Raw genomic sequence first — 20,752 nt, 5'->3', positions numbered from 1 at the left:
AATATATTTTCAATTATATATTGATTATGAAGATTCCTTAAATAATAGAGCTAAACAAAATGAAAGTTATAATAGCAATATTTTGTTCATCTGCATTATTATAAATAGAAGAATTCAAGATTCATGTAGGTGTGTTTTGAGAATGATTAGTTACAAAGGGTATGACTTTTCAGGTATGAATTTAAGATATTTGAGATTGTTCAATTATGTGAATAATTGAAATGCACTAAAATTATTTGGTGCATTTTGAAGACCCTTCAACACATTTGATGTATCTTCATACTCTTAATATTTGATGACTTTGGTTCCTGACCAGAAATCTCTCACCTGTCGATAAATCAAAGTTGTAAGGTAGATTTCTTTAATAAGAAAATTTTAGTATTGTCATGTCCTAGACATGACATGTCCTAGAATGCCTGAAGCTAGAATATCCCCATTTTTAGCATATAATATATTCTTAAAGATTTTTCAAGGTAATTCATCAGTCATAAAAAACTTAGAAGATAATATTTTATTGAAATGCCTTCTTTCATGATATGCAAACTGTTACAATTATTATTTTCCTCTTTACAGATAAAATATAGTAAAGTTATATATACATTTATTTTTCCTAGAAATTATAAAATTGTAAGTTCAATTTATCTAAAATAGAAAGTTATTTTATTCTTTATAGGTACAAATTCAGATATATATACATGTGCACACTTACCCACATACATAGGTAAGGTTGGCCACGTAATTTGTGGGGCCTAATACAAAATGAAAATGTGAGGCTTCTTGTTCAAAAAGCAGGAGAAAGGAACTGTAGCTTTCTTACACAGTCTCTCGTGACCTATGAAAGGTTATTTTTGTTTGCTATTTAATGTTAGATTTCTAGAGTATAGAGGTACTTATAAAGTGACTATATAAAGAGGTACTTATAAAGTGACTATATAAAGAGGTACTTATAAAGTGACTATATGTCTCGTGACATATAGGTCACGAGAGACTATGACCTATGAAAGGTTATTTTTATTTGCTATTTAATGTTAGATTTCTAGAGTATAGAGGTACTTATAAAGTGACTGCAGACCCTCACAGGCATCTGTGGCCCCACCAAATGACCCTGACCCACCCCAGGGTGTGCCAAGGCCCCCACAAGGAATAAAGGGTGGCAGTAATCACTGGGTGGGAGAACAGGTGGCTGAGGACCTATCCCAGGAAGTCACTCGGAGGCAGGACTGCATATGAGCCAAGACATGTGCTTCATTGCTGCATTGGACTACACAGATTCACAGGTAAAATTGTTAAAAAATTCAAGACTGTGGTAGCAGAGCATGAAAACCCAAGCCTGGGACCCCTGTCTAAAATTGGGATCCTATGTGCAGTAGCAGGTCCCTGAAGCTGCCCCTGTGTATAATAAACACATATCACATCAAAATAATGGTGATTTTATGGTTTTCTTAAACTGAGCAAATTGGACTGAACTAATGAATATTGTAATTAAGTGTAATTAAGTAGCAGGAACCAACCTGGAAAACTGTGGAGTGTATTATTGTATCTCATCCCCAGGTTTACTGTCACTCCAGGTTTCTATCACAAATAATGCTTCTTTATAGCTGTTGCATCAGTTTTAATGAAAGGGAATGCATTTTTCTGGAACTAGCTGAACTCAAACCTTGCTCACCGTTTGCTCAAAGACTTGGGATGGCTCTAATACTTAAGTCCTCATCTTTCTATTTTAAGGAATACTGTGTCTCCTTTGGTGGACCCAGTTGTTTTTCAGATCAGTCAGTAGCTTTTGTAATTGAGCTGTGCTGATGGAGCAAATGCTTGATGATAAGCATGAAAACTGAAAGTGATTAATTCATCAAAACCTGTGAGTCTTTTAGGTGAAGGGGACTTCAGAGATTGGCTTAAATTTTGCAAATCTGTTGCGTCCAGCCAGAGCAGTTCCGCAATGAGAAATGAATGCAGCTTATGTTTGTCTCAGGCTCAGTCCACACAACCATATGACTCCTCTGAGTCTAAATAAATTCAGTTCCTTAAACAGATCAGCAAGTCTTGATCATTTTTTAAAATGGAATCTCAACGTTCAATAAGTTCAATGTCTTGTCACATTAAGAAGAAATTAGCAAGAAATGAGATGAGATGGGTCTATAACGGACAAAACAGACAACCACTTAACACTATTGATTATGTATGTTTGCCCTAATATATACTGTCCTGTTAAATTTATATGAGTGGATACATATGTATATATGTTTGGTTAGTTTTCTATTGCTGCTGTAACAAATTACCACACACTTAGTGTCTTAAACCACACAAATTTCTGTCTTTCAGCTCTGTAATCAAAAGTCTGACCTGGGCCTCACTGGAGTAAAAATCAAATTGTTGGAGGAATGCATTATTTTCTGGAGTCTCTAGGGAAGAGTCCATTATTTTTGCCTTTTCCAGTTTCTAGAGGTCACCCTCATTCCTTGGCTCATGGCCCTCTGCCTCCATCTTCTAAGCCAGCAACGTCATGTTTCTCTGACCCTGCTTCCAACCTCACATCTCTTTCTCTGACCACACCTTGGAAAGATTCTCTTCTTTTTAGGACTCATGTGATTAGTGGGAGCCACCCAGATTATCCAGGATAATCCTCCCATCTGAAGGCCCTTAACCTTAATTACATCTGCAAAATCCCTCTTGCCATGTCAGGTAACATATTCATAGGTTCTGGGAATTTGAATGTGGACATCTCTGGGAGACTCACAACATTATATCAATACTAGTCTTCCCTAGTCTCTTTGGTGGAATCATTATCAATCCTTTCATTTCGAATCCATTATAGACAGCATCCCTCATACACTTTAAGCTCTGTGCAGGCAGATCACATGTCTGTTTTGTTTAGTTTTATCCCAAGCCTCAGGCACAATGCATAGAATTTAGAAAAAGCTGAATTGTATTTTTGGATGAAAGAGTGAATGAAATGATTGCATGTTGTATATGCCATGTAATGGAGAAACAGCCTCTCTGACATTAACTGAAATGAGTTTCAAGCATCTACTACATTTATACAATGGACTGCCTGTTATAAAAGGTCTTATTTTGCAAAGCATTAAATCTCTTCTGGAAATCAATGTAAATATCCAGAAATAAATTCTTTTTTATCTTAATCTCTGCATTTGGATCCACATCCAGCCCTATTCTAGAACAGGATTTTTATTCATTAAAAATACACTCCAGGAAACATTTAGGATCAGAAAAAATATAGCTTTTGTCTTTTAAAACTTAGGGATATATATATTTCTAAGATATTTCTGCTGATTTTGTTATATCTCTATGACTGGTTAGACCTAGTTCATCTTCTCTGATGTATAACATAATTAAGGAATTTTTTTATAAATGGGGCAGAGCAACGAGGCCCTGTGAAAAAGGAATGATCTTCAGGAAATCAATTATTTTTACATGGTGATCTTTCTGTAATTGGTGAAAATAGAATTGTAGGTAGGCAGCCATCATGTTTGAGTTCTAAGATAACACCAAGCATGGATATTTTTCTGGGACTGGGTTGAAATCATATTGTTGTAGTTGGGTTGGATGTGTTAGATAGGTGACATATAATTATTAGTAAAGTTAATATTCAGGTGATACATGACTATAGGGGATTATTAGAACTGAGTGAGAGATAATGCTGCTAGAGTAAACAAGTCAGATCTGAGCTCCATGCAGGAACTAATTTGCATTTCTGGACCTCTCATCCACCCACTTGTTTCTTCTCTTGGTGTTTTATGTGGAAGCACATTGTTGGTTCTCATTACGTATTTGCTGAGTGAATAAAGAATCAAATGGACTGGCTTTGTTATTCAGAAACCTGTTTTATTGTGTGTCTTGAGTTTAATGCATTCCATGTCTTGGGAAATTCTGAAAATTCATATAAAGCCTACACGAAAAGAGATGTTATGGGATTTTTCCTTTTGTATAGACCTCCATCTCACTCCTGAAAATGCATTTTGGAAATAATTCCAGCCTTAATTAATTAATTTATTTTTATTTCCTATGATGATATGGTAAAACAGTTGGGAGGAACAATATGCAATGGCTTTTTGAATACAAGAGACAGGTTAGAATTAAAATTCTAAAAATGTAAAGGCAGTTTTCAGCCTATGTTTTTCCTTCTTTCCCTCCCTCCCTCCCTCCCTCCCTCCCTTTCCCTCCATCCCTTCCTTCTTGCCCTTCCTCCCTCCCTTCCTTTCTTTTTTTTTTTTTTTGGCATGGACTGCATATGAGAATTGTCATTATCACCTCAAGTGTACTGTACTAGATGCTTTACATTTTTATATTCTTAACCGTTTTCATTATTATGTAGTGGTAACTGATTTTTGAGTGGTTGATTTGGTTAGAGATAATGTTTTTCAGTTTACAGATATCTGGATAACTTAAAAGAAATAAATAGTATCCTATATAGGTCTGTGCAAGAGTGGATATGCCAAAAACAGAGATATCAACCAAGGTCAGATTGATTAGAGCATAAAGTCAAAGTCCAAGAAGATATAAAGGAATCATCCCAATGAAAGAGGCTGGATTTAGATATTGAAGCTGGAATATAGGAGCTGATGATTCAACAAGCTGGGAGTTGAGAGAAATAATAAATAGTGGGGATCTGGTTAAGTTGGCAAAATGCTTTTTTTTTCTCTGATTTCTTTTCTGTGCCTAAATTAAGGACTAAGTATTACACAGGTATTTGCATATGTGAATTGTTTTGGAAATAACTTTATTGTTTCAGCTATTATTTTTCTGAGCTGCTCTGGGTTCCTAGTCTTATTCCTCTACTAAATGTTCCTTAATTCCATAGATGACTGTTAAATAATGATTCCAAATCCTTCTTGACAAGTTAAGTTTGGTGTCACGTAGATCTGGCATAGAATATCCACTTTGGGGTTTAAGAGGAGCTTGTGCAGTGCTCATTGGGGAAAAGGAGGCATCTGGGTTCCTCTATTGAGGAAACAGACTATTCTCATATATCTCTTCTTTGTGCTCTAATGTACTAATCTCTCTTAATAATAAAAATTAATTGTGAGAATCCTACAGAAATGCAAGCTATGTGATTGCGGAACTAGTAAGAAAAGCTGAAATAATAAAAAGTAGGCAGCCATTTTTATCTTTTTTAATAAAAGGGAAACTAATCAGATAGAGCCAGAGCACAGGAGGAGAATGAAATAATTTTTGTAAAATAAAAGTAACTATAAAGTAATGGAGAATATTCCAAAGTGTCAAAACTTAAGTCTTGCAGAGAGCAATCAATACAGAGGTGAAAAGCAGAGAGCAATACAGAGGTGAAAGTCCCTAAAGGTTACATCCTCTTGGCCAGAGAGCTTAAAGCCTGAGAGCCCTTTGTCATTTGCCTTCCAGCAGAGGCAGCCATGATTTCTAATACCTGTGGGGCAGGTCAGTCATTCACTTTGTGGATTGTTCCAACTGATCCTTTCCCAAGAAGTGGGTTCCTTTACTCCCTAGTGTTTAGGCATTCCTCATATGTTAGAAGTTCCTGCTATGGTTTTTTAACATTAAACTTTACTCAGAGTTGTTTGTTACATAAAATAAAACTAGGTCAAATGGTAGAAATGACAGGAATATAGTAAGAATCAAGAATCCTGGCATGAAGTATTAGTTCTAACTTGGACGAAATATAAGGGTCCTGAGCCTAGTAGAGTTCCTAGGTGGGAGCTGATGGTAGAATGAAGAGTGATTGTTGTCTTAGATCATATACACTAGAACAGACTTGAAAGTAAATTTGAGTACAAAAAAGTTTTGTTGGGACAGTCTTTCAGAAAATAAACATATAAGGAAACATATAAAGAAAGGCAGATTGGCAGAGAAGCCAACTTACAATGGAAATCTTAGCTGTCCTATGGGGAGTGTTGGAGCTGGGATGGCCTTTCAGAATTGTCTCATATTGAAACGGGGGAATGGACCCTTAGAATTCCTGCAACTGTCAATCATTGATGGCATATCATCCCAGGAGCTCTGTAACTTTGGATGAGGCAGGTTCCTGCAACTGAGGACTGTTCCCAGTGAGGAAAAGAGATGTGAGCCATCACAGCTGGTATTTCCAGCTGAAAAGGGAATCCCTTATAAAGGAAATCTGGGTGAAGCACCACATTATTCACTACAACAGTTAATAGCAAAAATCAAAAGGTTGTTTTTATAGCCCTTGAACAATGAAATATTATCCTGTGTTAGCAACTATAGTCAGAATATTTGGCTTCACAGAGAATTTAATTTACTATTGGTAATGTTTAGAAAATTATTAGGAGAAACATGTAATTTGTTATCCAAACCGGGATACATTTTTTTTTTTTTTTCCTGAGATGGGGTCTGGCTCTGTCACCTAGGCTGGAGTGCAGTAACATAATCTTGGCTCGCTGCAACCTCTGCCTCCTGGGTTCAAGTGGTTCTCCTGCCTCAGCCTTTCGAGCAGCTGGGATTACATGTGTACACCACCATAGCTGGCTAATTTTTGTATTTTTTAGTAGAGACAGGGTTTCATCACATTGGCCAAGCTGGTCTTGAACTCCTGACCTCAGATGATCTGCCTGCCTCGGCCTCCCAAAGTGCTGGGATTACAGGCGTAAGCCACCGTGCCCGGCCAAAACTGCGTTACTTCTGAGAGACAAAGATTCATAAAATGGTCAACAGACCTTAATTGATCTACAAAAGGCATCTCAAGCAAACTGAGAGGTATGGCCACCTAGAAACTATATGACTATATGACTATAGTGTGTGTGTGTATATATATGTATGTATTATACATATGTATATATATAATAAACACAAGAATACATATGATGGATTTTGAGAGAGATTTAACACATTTTTCTGACAGATTTTGTATGGGCTATAACAGATAGCTAAACTGTAAAATTTAAATTAAAATGCTATTGGTGTTACTGCATTTCTAGTTACATAATTCTTCTATAAACACTGTGCTAAGAAGTGGTGGTTTCAAAGTACTAACAACTGCAGTCTTAGTTGTCAAGGAGAATCAAACAGACAAGTACGTGAAATGGAACATGATAAAAACTGTAATACTGATGAATGCTAAGTACTATAAGAGCACCAAGTAGTAAGTGGTTAACTCCCCTGGGGTGGATCAGGCTTCAGAGGAGAGAAAGCTCTTAAGCTGGCTTTTGAAGGAGAAGTAGGTACTCATTAGACAGTTGAGGGAGTTGGGAATTCCAGAAAGGGGTAAGAGCCTGTGCAAAGGCACAGAGCAGGAATCACATAGGTTGTTTGTTGTAGGAAATATATGAAGTTCAGTTTGGAGGAAAAGTAGAGGGAAGAAAGAAAGGAAGGATATGAGACTAAGTACTGGCCATTAGTTTGCAAATGTGTTTCTTTTAAATATTTGATAAACTCCCAATATTTTTTTCCTTCTAAAACAAGCTGAATTTTAATTTTTGCCTATTTTTCTTCAATGTTAATCAGTTATGAGTCCCTCATATCATCTTGGCTGTCTTATATTCATAAATCAATTTCCATTGAAATATATTAATTTATCTTTTTATTTTGTTTTTATTTTTATTTTTTGGCAGGGTCTTGCTCTCTTACCCAGGCTGCTAGAGGGTAGTGATGTGATCACAGCTCACTGCAGCTTTGACCTTCCAGGCTCAAGTCATCCTCCCACTACAGCCTCCTGAATAGCTGGGACTACGGGTGTGCACTACCAGGCCTGGTCAATATATTTTGTTTTTCTTTTTTTTTTTTTGAGACAGAGTTTCACTGTTGTTGCCCAGGCTGGAGTGCAATGGTGTGATCTCGGCTCACTGCAACCTCTGACTCCCAGGTTCAAGCAATTCTCCTGCCTCAGCCTCCTGAGTAGCTGGGATTACAGGCATATGCCACCACACCCGTCTGATTTTATATTTTTAGTAGAAACGGGGTTTCTCCATGTTGGTCAGGCTGGTCTCGAACTCCCAACCTCAGGTGAACCGCCTGTCTCAGCCTCCCAAAGTGCTGGGATTATGGGCGTGAGCCACTGCGCCTGGCCTAGAAGTACCAAAATATTTACTTTGAATATGCTTATATGTCTCACATAAGATTTAGCAAGAAGCAATTAAAATGCCTGAAAACCATTTAATGGTACAAAAACCATGACCTTTTGTGGTACTATATACTGGAAAATATGATTCAGTTTATTTTATTAGCCAGCACTATCTTATGGAAATATTATGCAAACTACAATAATATGTGAGCCAAATAGATAATTTTAAATTTTCTAGTAGCTACATACAGTAAAAGGAACAGGTGAAATTAATTTTAGTTAAGTCAGTGTATGCAAAATATCATCATTTCAATATGCAATCAATATAAACATCATAATGAGATATCTTACATTCTGTTTTAGTTATAAGTCCTTGAAATTTGATGTGTATTTTACATTTATAGTGTAGCTGGACTAACCATATTTCGTGTTCAATAGCGACATGTGGCCAGTGGCTGCCATGGTAGACAGCATAGCACTATGCAGAATTGCCTTCTCCATCATAGTGTTTGTGGTTTTTTTAACCTTTTTTTAGATACAGGGGTACATGTGAAGGTTTATTACATAGGTAAACTTGTGGCATGGGAGTTTGTTGTACAGATTATTTAATCACCCAAGTATTAAGCCTGGTACCCAGTAGTTATCTTTTCTGCTCCTCTCCCTTTTCCCACCCTCCACCCTCAAGAAGAGTCCAGTGTTTACTGTTTTCTTCTTTGTGTTTATAAGTTCTTGTCATTTAGCTCCCACTTATAAGTGAGAATATGTGGTATTTGGTTTTCTGTTTCTGTGTTAGTATACTAAGGATAATAGCCTCCAGCTCCATCCACGTTCCCACAAAAGACACGATCTCATTATTTTTTATAGCTGCATAATATTCCATGGTGAATATGTGCCTTGTTTTCTTCATCAAATCTGTCATTGATGGACATTTAGGTTGATTCCATGTTTTTGCTGTGAATCATGCTGCAATGAACATTCGTGTACATGTGTCTTTATGATAGAATGATTTATATTCCTTTGGGTATGTACCCAGTAATGGGATTACTGGGTCGAATGGCAGTTCTGCTTTTAGTTCTTTGAGGAATTACCATACTGCTTTCCACAATGGCTGAATTAACTTACACTCCTACCAACAGTATATAAGTGCTTCCTTTTCTCTGCAACCTTGCCAGCATCTGTTATTTTTTGACTTTTTAGTAATAGCCATTTTGACTGGTGTGAGATGGTATCTCACTGTGGTTTTGATTTGCGTTTCTCTAATGATCAGTGTTATTGAGCTTTTCTTTATGTGCTAGTTGGCCACATCTATGTCTTCTTTTGAAAAGTGTGTTCATATCCTTTACCTGCTTTTTAATGGGGTTGTTTTTCTTTTGTCAATTTGTTTAAGTCTCTTATAGATGCTTATAAGTTTCTTATATCAGACCTTTGTCAGATGCATAGTTTGCAAATATTTTCTCCCATCTGTAGGTTGTCTGTTTACTGTGTTGATAGTTTCCTTTGCTGTGTGGAAGCTCTTAGGTTTAATCAAATTTTGCTTTTGTTGTGATTGCTTTTGGTGTCTTTGTCCTGACATCTTTGCCCATTCCTATGTCCAGGATGGTATTTCCTAGGTTTTCTTCCAGTGTTTTTATAGTTTTGGTTTTTACATTTAAGTCTTTAATTCATCTTGACTTGATTTTTGTATATGGTGTAAGGAAGGGGTCCAGAGTCAATCGTCTGTGCATGGCTGGCCAGTTATCCCAGCATCATTTATTGAATAGGGAGTCTTTTCCCAATTGTTATTTTTTGTCAGCTTTGTCAAAAGATCAGATGGTCGCAGATGTGTGGCCTTATTTCTGGGCCTCTCTTCTGTTCCACTGGTCTACGTGTCTTTTTTTGTACCATGCTGTTTTGGTAACTGTGTTCTGTAGTATAGTTTGAAGTTGGGTAACGTGATGCTTCCAGCTTTGTTTTTTTTTGCTTAGGATTGCCTTGGCTATTCAGGCTCATTTTGGTTCCAAATGAATTTTAAAATCATTTTCTCTAGTTCTGTAAAGAATGTCATTGGTAGTTTGATAGGATAGCAATGAATCTGTAAATTGCTTTGGGCAGTATGGCCATTTTAATGATACTGATTCTTCCTATCTATGAGCATTGGATGTTTTTCCATTTGTTTGCGTCTTCACTGATTTCTTTGAGCAGCATTTTGTAATTCTTGTTATAGAGATCTTTCTCCTTTCTGGTAAGCTGTGTTCATAAGCATTTTAGTCTTTTTGTGGCAATTGTGAATCAGATTGCCTTTATGATTTTTCTCTCAGTTTGGCTGTTATTGGTGTGTAGGAATACTAGTGATTTTTGTAAGTCAATTTTGTTTACTAAAATTTTGTTAAAGTTGTTTATTAGCTGAAGGAGCTTTTGAGCTAAGACTATGGGTATGGGGTTTTCTACATATAGAATCATGTCATCTGCTAACAGAGATAGTTTGACTTCCTCTCTTCCTATTTGGATGCCCTTTATTTCTTTCTCTTGCGTGATTGCTTTGGCTTAGACTTCTAATATGATGTTGAATAGAAGTGGCAAGAGAGCATTCTTATCTTGTGCCAGTTTTCAAGGGGGAATGCTTGCAGCTTTTGCCCTTTCAGTATAATGTTGGCTGTAGGTTTGTCATAGATGGCTCTTATTATTTTGATGTATGTTCCTTCAATACTTAGCTTATTAGAAGTTTTTAACATGAACGGGTGTTGAATTTTATCAAAAGCCTTTTCTGTGGCTATTGAGATAATAGTGGTTTTTGTCTTTTGTTCTTTTTATGTGATGAGTGATATTTATTGCTTTGTGTATGTTGAACCAACCTTGCATTCTGGGGATGAAGTCTACTTGATCATGGTGGATTATCTTTTTGATGTGCTGCTGGATTCGGTTTGCCAGTATTTTGTTGAGGGCTTTTGTCTTGATATTCATCAAGGATATAGCTCTGAAGTTTTCTTTTTTTGTTGTGTCTCTGCTAGGTTTTGGTATCCAGATGATGCTGGCCTTGTAGAATGAGTTGGGGAAAAGTTCCTCCTCCTGAATTTTAAGGAATAGTCTCTGTAGGAATGGTACCAGCTCTTCTTTGTACATCTGGTATTAATAGAATTTGGCTACATCATGATGTTTTTAATGTTGGATAACCTTTTTTTATTTTGAGATGGAGTCTCACTCTGTTGCCTAGGCTGAAGTGCAGTGACGCCATCTCGGCTCACTGCAATCCCTGGCCCCCAGTTCAAGCAATTCTCCTGCCTCAACCTCCTGAGTAGCTGGGATTGCAGGTGTGAGCCAGAATGCCCAGCTAATTTTTTTGTATTTTTTAAGTAGAGATGGGGTTTCACCATGTTGGCCAGGGTGGTCTGGAACTCCTGACCTCAGGTGATTTACCTGCCTTGGCCTTCCAAACTGTTGGGATTATAGGCGTGAGCCACTATACTCGGCCGATAACCTCTATATTTTTATAACTTTAAAAATGCTACTGTTGGGGTAATAAAAGAAAGGAGAGAGAATACTTAGGTCAGGGATATCTAGAGCTACCTCACCATGCTGTCATTCCTAGGGTTATCCAGTAAAATAAGCAAGTGGCATTTTATACTTGTATATTGGAAAGGAATGAAATTTTCTATATGTCATAGATTGTATTCTCTAATGATAGCTACAACAATATTTCACATTTTGCAAATTCTCCTCTGGCATGACTTTGCTTTTCCTCCATCAAAAAGATAGAGTTTAATACTTTTCTTCTTGAATCTTGGCTGGACTTAATAACTTGGTTGACCAACTAAATATGGCAGAAGTAACATTCTAGGACTTCTGAGGCTAGATTATAAAAAGGCTTTTAGCTTTCACCTGATTGTTTTGGAGTGCTCAACTTTGAGACATTTCCCCTCAGAATGCAATTTCTAGGCTGTATGAAGCCCAGCCTACACAGAGAGATAACAATTAGGTAGGCACTCTGGTTGATAGAGCTGCATTCCTAGCCAAAAGCCCGCATTAACTGCCAGCACTGTAAATATGGTATCTTGTATGTCTAGCCTATTCAAAATTTTATATGGTTCCCACTGCAGCCAAACTTTGACTGCAGCTGCTCAGAGACCTGATGTGTCAAATCTCAGCTGAGCCCAGCCAAACCTCAGAACCATAAGAAAGAATAAAAAATTGTTGCCTTTTTTTTTTTCTTTTTTTTGAGATGGAGTCTCGTTCTGTCACCCAGGCTGGAGTGCCATGGCACGATCTTGGCTCACTGCAACCTCTGCCTCCTGGGTTCAAGTGATTCTCCTTCCTCAGCCTCCTGAGTAGCTGGGACTACAGGCATGTGCCACCACACCCGGCTAATTTTTGTATTTTTAGTAGAGACAGGGTTTTGCCATGTTGGCCAGGCTGGTCTTGAACTCCTGACCTCAAATGATCCACCTGCCTCGGCCTCCCAGAGTTCTGGGATTACAGGCATGAGCCACCGCGCCCGGCCAGAAGTTGTTGCTTTTTAAACATTAGGTTTTGCAATGGCTTCTTACACAATAATAGATAATCATAATACTATACAATTTTTTAGGCAAAGACTTTACTTTGAGAAGAACATAAAGGATCTGAATTACCCTAACAACAAATGTAGGGAATAGCCTAGAGGGTATTCTAGGATGAGTTAGACTGTCTCCTTAGCCATAATGGTCAAGAGTTGTTAGTTACAGCTTTATTAGAAAGAATCCAAAACTGATGTTAGTAGGTAGAAAGATGTAGAGAAAATTATTAATGGATTCTATTACAAAGAATAGATTTAGTTAATCCCTGCAAATCTTTCATGTTCTTTAAGTCTCGGGTTAAAAATTAAACCAGTGTATATAAATTAAACACTTATAACAGAGATCTGAAGTGGGTGAACCTTATCTAATTATAAGGGTAAAGATTCTAGTGTCCAGTGTGAAAAAAAACCAAGAAAGCTAGGTAAGTTACACTCTTGCAGAATTCCATTTTAATGAGTTTAGTTTTGTCTGAGTGCATTTATGTTATAATGATATTGGTAATTGCATTTAAGAATGACTGAAACTTTTTCAGGTGACCCACAATTGATATTTCTAAAATGTGCGTTATGATCACCTGCCCTCTTTAGCAGTATTAAATTAGAATCATTGAATACCTAGTGATTATATAATTTATGCTGTGGAATAGTCACAGGCAAATGTTTATTTAGCCTCTTGCAGTTTCTAAGTCTCCCTTCCTCCTTGGCAATTTTAAGTGCAGTACTGGGGGCTCAGGAGAAAAGGAATATGCAAAGAAAATACAAAGTTGGCAAGACGGTTAGTATGGCAGTTGGCTTACAACTGGGAAGAGAAAAATAATTTTTGTTTGGTGCATAGCAGAGATATGATAATCACTATTTGTGATAATTATGTTGTCTTTTGTAGAAACAAGCTCTTTCTAATTTGACAACTCCTTTAGAAGTATTGACTGTTCATTTTATTTAGTTTCTGACTTTTATATTAAACCTAACACTTGTAAAAATAAAACTGACTGAATCTACTTGATAACTGCTTTTAATTTTAGTTCAGCTGTTTATGCTATATGGGAAAGCCTATCCATCTTCTCTCATTTTCGTCCCAGGAATACCTCTCAAAGACTAGAAACTAAATTTTTAAAAAAACTTTTAATTTTGAAATAATTATAGATTCAAAGGAAGTAGCAAAGACAGCACAGAGAGGTTCTTTGTACCCTTTGCCCAGTTTCCTATATAGGTTGCATCATGTGTAACTATATAGCAAGATATCAAAACAAGGACATTGACATATTGACATAAATTATGTATATAGTTTTATCACATATATGGGTTTGTGTAATCACCAACACAAAAACGATACAGAAATATTCCATCACTACAAATATCTCCCTTGTGCTACCACTTTCCAATCACACCTGCCCCTCCCTACCCCTACCACCTGCCCCTGCCCCGTGCCTAACCCTCGGCAAATGCAAATCTATTCTCCATTTCTATAATTTTGTTATTATACAGTGTTTTATAAATGGAATTACACAGTGTAGGACCTTTTGAGATTGGCTTTTTAAAAACTCAGCATAATGCCTTAGAGATCCATCCAAGTTGGATATATTGATAGTTTATTCTTTTTTATTGCTAATTAGTATTCCATGGTAGGATATACCATTGTTTATACATTTGACTATGGTAGGACATTCTGTTTTTTCCAGTTTGGGGCTATTACAAATAATGCTTCTATGAACAATTGGGTACAGATTTTTGTGTAGTCATAAATTTTAATTTCTCTAAGAGAAACACCCACAAGTGTGATTGCTAGGTTATGGTATGTGATGCATAGTTTTTAGGAAACTGCCAAACTATTTTCCAGAGCAATTTTACATTCCCACCAGCAATGTATCTAGTTATTCAACACTCTGACCAACATTTGATATTTTCACTATTTTTTATTTTAGATGTTCTAATCAGTGTGTAGTGATATTATGATCTTCATTCTAATAGCCAGTGATGTCAAACATCTTTTCATGTGTTTATTTGCTGTCTGTACATACTCTTCAGTGAAATGACTCATCATGTTTTTTGCCTATTTTCTAATAGGATTTTTTGTATAGTAGTTTACTGTTAATTATTAAGAGTTGTTTATACATTCTATATATGAGACCTTTTCAGATATTAGTTTTGTAAATATTTTCTTGCAGTTTGTAGCTAATGAAGTAAGCTTTATCTATTTTTTCTTTTATGTGTCATGCTTTTTGTGTCTAAGAATGGTTCAACGAGTTCTAGGTCCAAAATTTCTTTTCTGCTATTTTCCTAAACGTTTTATATTTTACATTTGATTTTGTATTTATGATCCATTCTGAGTTAACTTTTTATGAAGTGTGAGACTTTTCTCAAAGTTCCTACTTTTTGCCTATTGATATCCAGTTGCTCTAGCACTATTTGTTCCTCCATTGGATTACTTCTGCATATTTGTGAAAAATCAATTTGCTGTACTTGTGTATGGCTATTTCTAGTTTCATGATTCTATTTTATTGGGCTGTTTGTTTATTCCTTGGCCAATATCACAAAGCATTGACTACTGTAGCTATATAATAAGTCTTGAAATCACTTAGAGTTATTCCTATTAATTTCCTATTTCAAAGTTGTTTTTAGCTATCCTAGCTACTTTGTCATTCCATGTATATTTTACAATAATTTTTAATGTCTAAAATTTTTTTCTTAGGTTTTATAAGAATTATAAAAACTTGTATATCAATTTAGGAGAATTGACATATTTACTGTGTTGTCTTCCAGTTCATGAACACAGGATGTCTCTCCATTCAATTAGATCTTTGATTTCTTTCATCAGCATTTTGCAGTTTTCAGTATAGAAGTCGTACACGTTTTATTAGACTTATACCTAATTGTTTCATTTTTCAGGTATTATAAATGTTATTATATTTTTAATTTTAATTTTCACCTGTTATTAGTATATACAAGTAAAATCGATTTTTGTATGTTTATCTTATATCCTGCAACCCTCCTGAAATCACTTAGTAGTTCAGGAATTGTTATTATTGTCGTTTTGGTGGATTCCTTGGGATTTTCTACATAGAAAATTATGTCATGTATAGATAGTAGGAATAGTTTTATTTCTTCCTTTTAAATCTGTATGTCTTTTACTTAATTTTCATACCTTACTGCACCGATTAGAACTTCCAGAAATATGGTGCGTAAGTGTGGTGAGAGCTGATATCCTTGCTTTGTTGCCTATTTTAGGGGGAAAGCCTTCAGTCTTTTGCCATTAAATACAATGTTAGCTTTAGATCTCTTTTTGATAGATTTTTAAAAATCAAGATATAGAAGTTCTTCTCTGTTTCTAGATTTTGGAGAGTTTGTGTGATAAATGGGTGTTGAATTTTGTCAGATAAATGCCTTTTCTGCATCAATTTACATAATCATATGATTTTTCTTGTTTAGTTTGTTAATATGGTAGATTACATTGATTTTCAAATATCAAACTAGCCTTGCAACCCTGGAATAAATCTTACTTGGTCATGGTATACAATTCATTTTACATATGGATGAATTCTATTTGTTAATATTTTATTAGAAATATTTTCATCTCTATTAATGAAGAGTATTAATTTGCAGTTTTCTTATAATATCTTTGTTTTTGGTATCATGGTAGTAATAAAATTGATTGGAAAGTACTCCCTCTTTTTTTATCTTCTAGAAAGGTTGGGTAGAACAGGTGTTACATATGTTTAAATATTTGGCAGTGTTCTCCAAGAAAACCATCTGGGGATGGAGATTTCTTTTCCAGGAGTTTTTATATTATGAATTCCACTTCCTTAATAATTATAGAGCTATTTAAATTATCTGTTGCATATTGAGTTAGTTGTGATAGCTTTTGCTTTTGAAGGAATTGGTTTATTTCATCTAACTTGTCAAACTTACATGTTAAAGTTGTTTGTATAATCCCTTATTGTGCTTTGATGCCTGTAGGATATTTCCTTGTTTCATTCCTGGTCTTAAAAATTTGTATCTTCTCTTTTATTTTTGTTAATTTTTCTAGAATTTTAACATTTTATCTTGATAGTTTCAAAGAGAAGCTTTTTTATTTCATTGAATTTCTCGATTTTCATTTTCAATTTTATTTGTGTTCTTTATTATTTTCTTCTTTCTGCTTACTTTGGGTGTATTTCATGCTTTCTTTCTAGATTTTTGAGATAGATGATTAGATTACTGATGTGAGATATTTTCTGTTTCTCTGCCTCTTTTTTTAAAAACTCAAGCCCAGTGAGAGCTGGAATGTTTTCTCTTTTGCAGATTTTCCTGTTGTCTTTCAATAATCAATTTTCTATTTTGATTTGATTGTGCGCAGAGAACACACTCTTTGTGACTAATTTTTTTTTACATATATTGAGGCTATTTTATGGCCCAGGATATGGTCTATCTTAATATAGTTTAATGGGCACTTAAAAATAATATGTATTTACCCTTATTGTCCTTTGCTGCCTGTAGGATATTTCCTTGTCCCACTCGTGGTCTTGAGAATTTGTTGAAAAATTTAAAACAAATTTGAAAACTTGAAAAACTTAAAAATAATGTTGTTAGGTAAGGTGTTCTATAAAATGTTGACTAGAATCTGTTGGTTGATGGTATTGTTGAATTTTTCTATATCCTAGCTGATTTTCTGTCTAGTTGTTCTTATAATTGTTGAGAGAAGGATGTTGAAGTCTACAGCTATAACTGTGAATTTGTCCACTCTTCCGTTCAGCTTTGTCAGTTTTTGCTTCATCTATATTTATAGCTCTGTTGTTAAGTACATGCGCATTTAGGCTAGCTATGTCTTCTTGAAGGATTGACTCTTAATATTATGTAATGTCTCCCTCTCTCCTGAGTAATTTTCTGTCTTTGCAGTCTTCTTTACTGGATATTAATAAAGCTACTTTCTTTTGATTAATGTTTGCATGGTTTATCTTTTTCCACCCTTTTACTTTTAATATACCTGTATCATGATGTGTGAAGTAAGTTTCTTAAGGATAGCATGTAGTTGAGTTAGGTCTTTAATCTGTTCTGCTAACCTCTGTCTTTTAATTGGTGTATTTAGACCATGTATATTAAGTAATTATTGATGTGGTAAGGATTATGTCTAATCTATCTACCTATCCATCTAATTTGTTTTCTGTTTGTTCCCTCTGTTTTTAATTTATTTTTCATGACTTTTTGTCAGTTACTTGAATACACTTTAGATTCTTTTTTGATGTGTCTATAGTATTTTTGAGTATATATCTTTATATAGCTATTTTAGTAGTTTATCGAGGTATGGCATTATATACACATAATTATCATAATTTAATAAAGTTGACATTTTACCAGTTTGAGGAAAATGTAGAACCCTTTATGTAATTTTATCTCACTCATTTATTATATAAATATATTAAATATTTGTTTTATGTATATTGAGAAACACGTAAGACTGTTTTAATTTTTGCTTCAACTATCAAACATAATTTAGAAAACTGAAGAAAGAAGTGTATTTTTATTCATATTTTTACTTTTTTGTTATTTCTTCTCTCTTGATCTTCAGAGATTACTACTTTTATTTATTTTAATTTATTTATTGTGACAAAAGCACTCAATAAGAGAACTACAATCTTAACAAATTTTTAAGTGAACAATATATCAAATGAAAACTAGAGGCACAATGTTGGACAACATATCTCTATAACTAAATTGTTTTGCATATCTTAAACTTTATACCTGTTGAATGGCAACTTTCCATTTCTCCCTCCCCAATCCCCTAGCACCCACCATTCTACCCTCTGCTTCTCTGTGTTTGACTATTTCATATGCCTCATATAAGTGGTATGATGCAGTATTTGTTCTTCTGTGACTAGCTTATTTCACTTAGCATAATGTTCTCAAGAATTCATTCATGTTGTCACAGTGCAAGATTTCCTTGTTTTTCAATACAGAATAATATTTCATTGTATGTATATACCACATATTTTTTATCCATTCACCTGGTGATGAACATTTAGGTTGTTTAAACATCTTGGATATTGTAAATAATGATGCCGTGAGGCCGAGCACAGTGGCTCACACCTGTAATCCCAGCACTTTGAGAGGCTGAGGCAGGGAGACCTCTCGAGCCCAGGGTTTAAGACCATCCTGGGGAACATGGCAAAACCCCGTTTCTACAAAAAATATAAAAATTAACTGGGTGTGGTGGCACACCCCTGTGGTCCCAGCTCTAGGGAGGCTGAGGTGGGAGGATTGTTTGAGCCCAAGTGGTCGAGGCTGCAGTGAGCCATGATTACATCACTGCACTCCAGCCCGGGGGACAGAGCAAGACCCTGTCTCAAAAAAAAAAAAAAAAAAAAAAGATGTGATGAATATGAGAGTGCATATATCTCTTCCAGCTACTTTTTATTTTCTTCATGTATAAACCCAAATGCGGGATTGCTGGATCATATAGTATTTTTATTTTTAATTTTTTTGAGGAAATGCCATGCTGTTTTCCATAGCTGTGACATCATTTTACATTTATATCAATAGTGTACAAGCATTCCTTTTCCTTCACATCCTCCTCAATATTTGTGATCTTTTTTTGTTTATTGATAATAGCTTTCCTAACAGATGTAAGGTAATATCTCCTGGTTTTGATTTCATTTTCCTGATGACTAGTGATGTTGCACATTTTTTCATATACTCTGAGTATCTGTATTTTTTCTCTTGAGAAATGTCTATTCGGGTCCTTTGCCATTTTTTTTATTGGGTTATTTGTTTTCTTGCTATTGAGCTGCTTGAATTACTGATCTGTTTTAGATATTAACTCCTTATCAGATAGATGTATGATTTGCAAATGTTTCCTTCCATTCTATAGGTTGTGTCTTCTCTCTCAATTGTTGCCTTTGATGTGTAGAAAATTTTTAGATTAATATAATCCTTCTTTTCTATTTTTGCTTTTGTTGCTCATGCTTTTGGAGTCATACCCAAGAAATTATTGCCAATCCAATGTCATGAAGTTTTTCCCCTATTTTTTTCTAAGAATTTTACAGTTTCAGGTCTTATGTTTAAGTCTTTAATCCATTTTCAGATGATTTTTGTATATGTTGTAAGGTAAAGGTCCAAATTAATTCTTTTGTATATGGATATTCAGTTTTCCCAGCATCATTTGTTGAAGGAACTACCTTTTCCCCATTCTGTATTCTTGACACCCTTGTTGAAGATTAGTTGACTTTACACATGTAGATTTTTAAAACATTTTTAATTTCATTTTTAATTGATAAATAACATGTGGTTTCATTTCTGGGCTCTCTATTCTGTTCCATTGGTCTGTATGTCTGTCTTTATGTTAGTACCATACTGTCTTAATTAGTGTAGCTTTGTAATCTTTTTTGAAATCCAGAAGTATGATTCCTTTGTAGCAGGACGAGCCGCAGACAAAACCTCTCAGACACTGAGTTATAGAAGGAAGGGCTTTATTCAGCTGGGAGCATCGGCAAGCTACTGCCTTAAAATCCGAGCTCCCCGAGTGAGCAATTCCTGTCCCTTTTAAGGGCTCACAACTCTAAGGATTTCACATGAAAGGGTTGTGATTGATTTGAGCAAGCAAGGGGTACACGACAGGGGCTGCATGCGCTGGCGGTCAGAGAGAAACAGAACAGGGCAGGGAGTTTCACAGTGTTGTTCTATACAATGTCTGGAATCTGTGAATAACATCGATTTTTAAGTTATGAGTTGATTTTTAACTACTGGGTTTAGGCCAGGCAGGCCCAGGCCTGGTTTCAGGCGTGGCTCTGGGCTGCCTGTCTTTGGTTTTACTTCCTTGTTGTTTTTTTTAAAAACAGGTACTGAGTATAAAACAATATAAAACAATATGAGAGGGTCTCTCTCTTCCCTCCTTTCCCCCCTTTGAGGCTCTCACTTTTTTATTAGTAGGAGTTCTCACTTTTATTTTTGTTACTTTTTTTTTTTGTAATAGATTGATAGTGATTTATATAGTACACTTGTGCTGAAGCATTTTGGTGAACTAAGATAGCGATGAAGCTTTTTATCATTTGAAGAAGTACAGGTAGCAAGCAAGGAAGCAGTAAGTAGGTTCTTATTACTATCATAACTTTTATTATAAGAGTTTTAAGTTCTCCTAGTGCTGGGAACTGATTTTTAAACATGGCTTCAGGGTCCAATTCGTGCTACACTTATGCGGGCACATGTGTCAGTTTTGTCATATTTTTAACTATGTCTTTAACTACTTGCCT

At 35.3% G+C, this 20,752-nt stretch overlaps 1 protein-coding gene across 9 annotated transcripts in view; it reads left to right on the top strand.

The window, feature by feature from the left end:
• The window catches only part of CTNNA3 (catenin alpha 3), a 1,851,072-nt gene that overhangs the window by 584,288 nt on the left and 1,246,032 nt on the right, over window positions 1–20,752 (top strand). For 2 of the 9 annotated variants that reach the window (XM_017016158.3, NM_001291133.2), the window contains exon 9: window positions 2,323–3,817. The exons of the other annotated variants lie outside the window; for them this stretch is intronic. In XM_017016158.3, the coding sequence (XP_016871647.1) occupies window positions 2,323–2,406 (84 nt within the window). In that variant the 3' untranslated portion in view covers window positions 2,407–3,817. Of the gene's footprint in view, window positions 1–2,322; window positions 3,818–20,752 lie in introns of those variants that run through there. 9 annotated transcript variants of the gene reach the window in all.

This window comes from Homo sapiens, chromosome 10 (genome assembly GCF_000001405.40).
Source record: "Homo sapiens chromosome 10, GRCh38.p14 Primary Assembly".
Lineage (NCBI taxonomy): Eukaryota > Metazoa > Chordata > Mammalia > Primates > Hominidae > Homo > Homo sapiens.
Note: the sequence above shows the minus strand (reverse complement) of the source record. Positions and strands in the feature narration are given on the sequence as shown.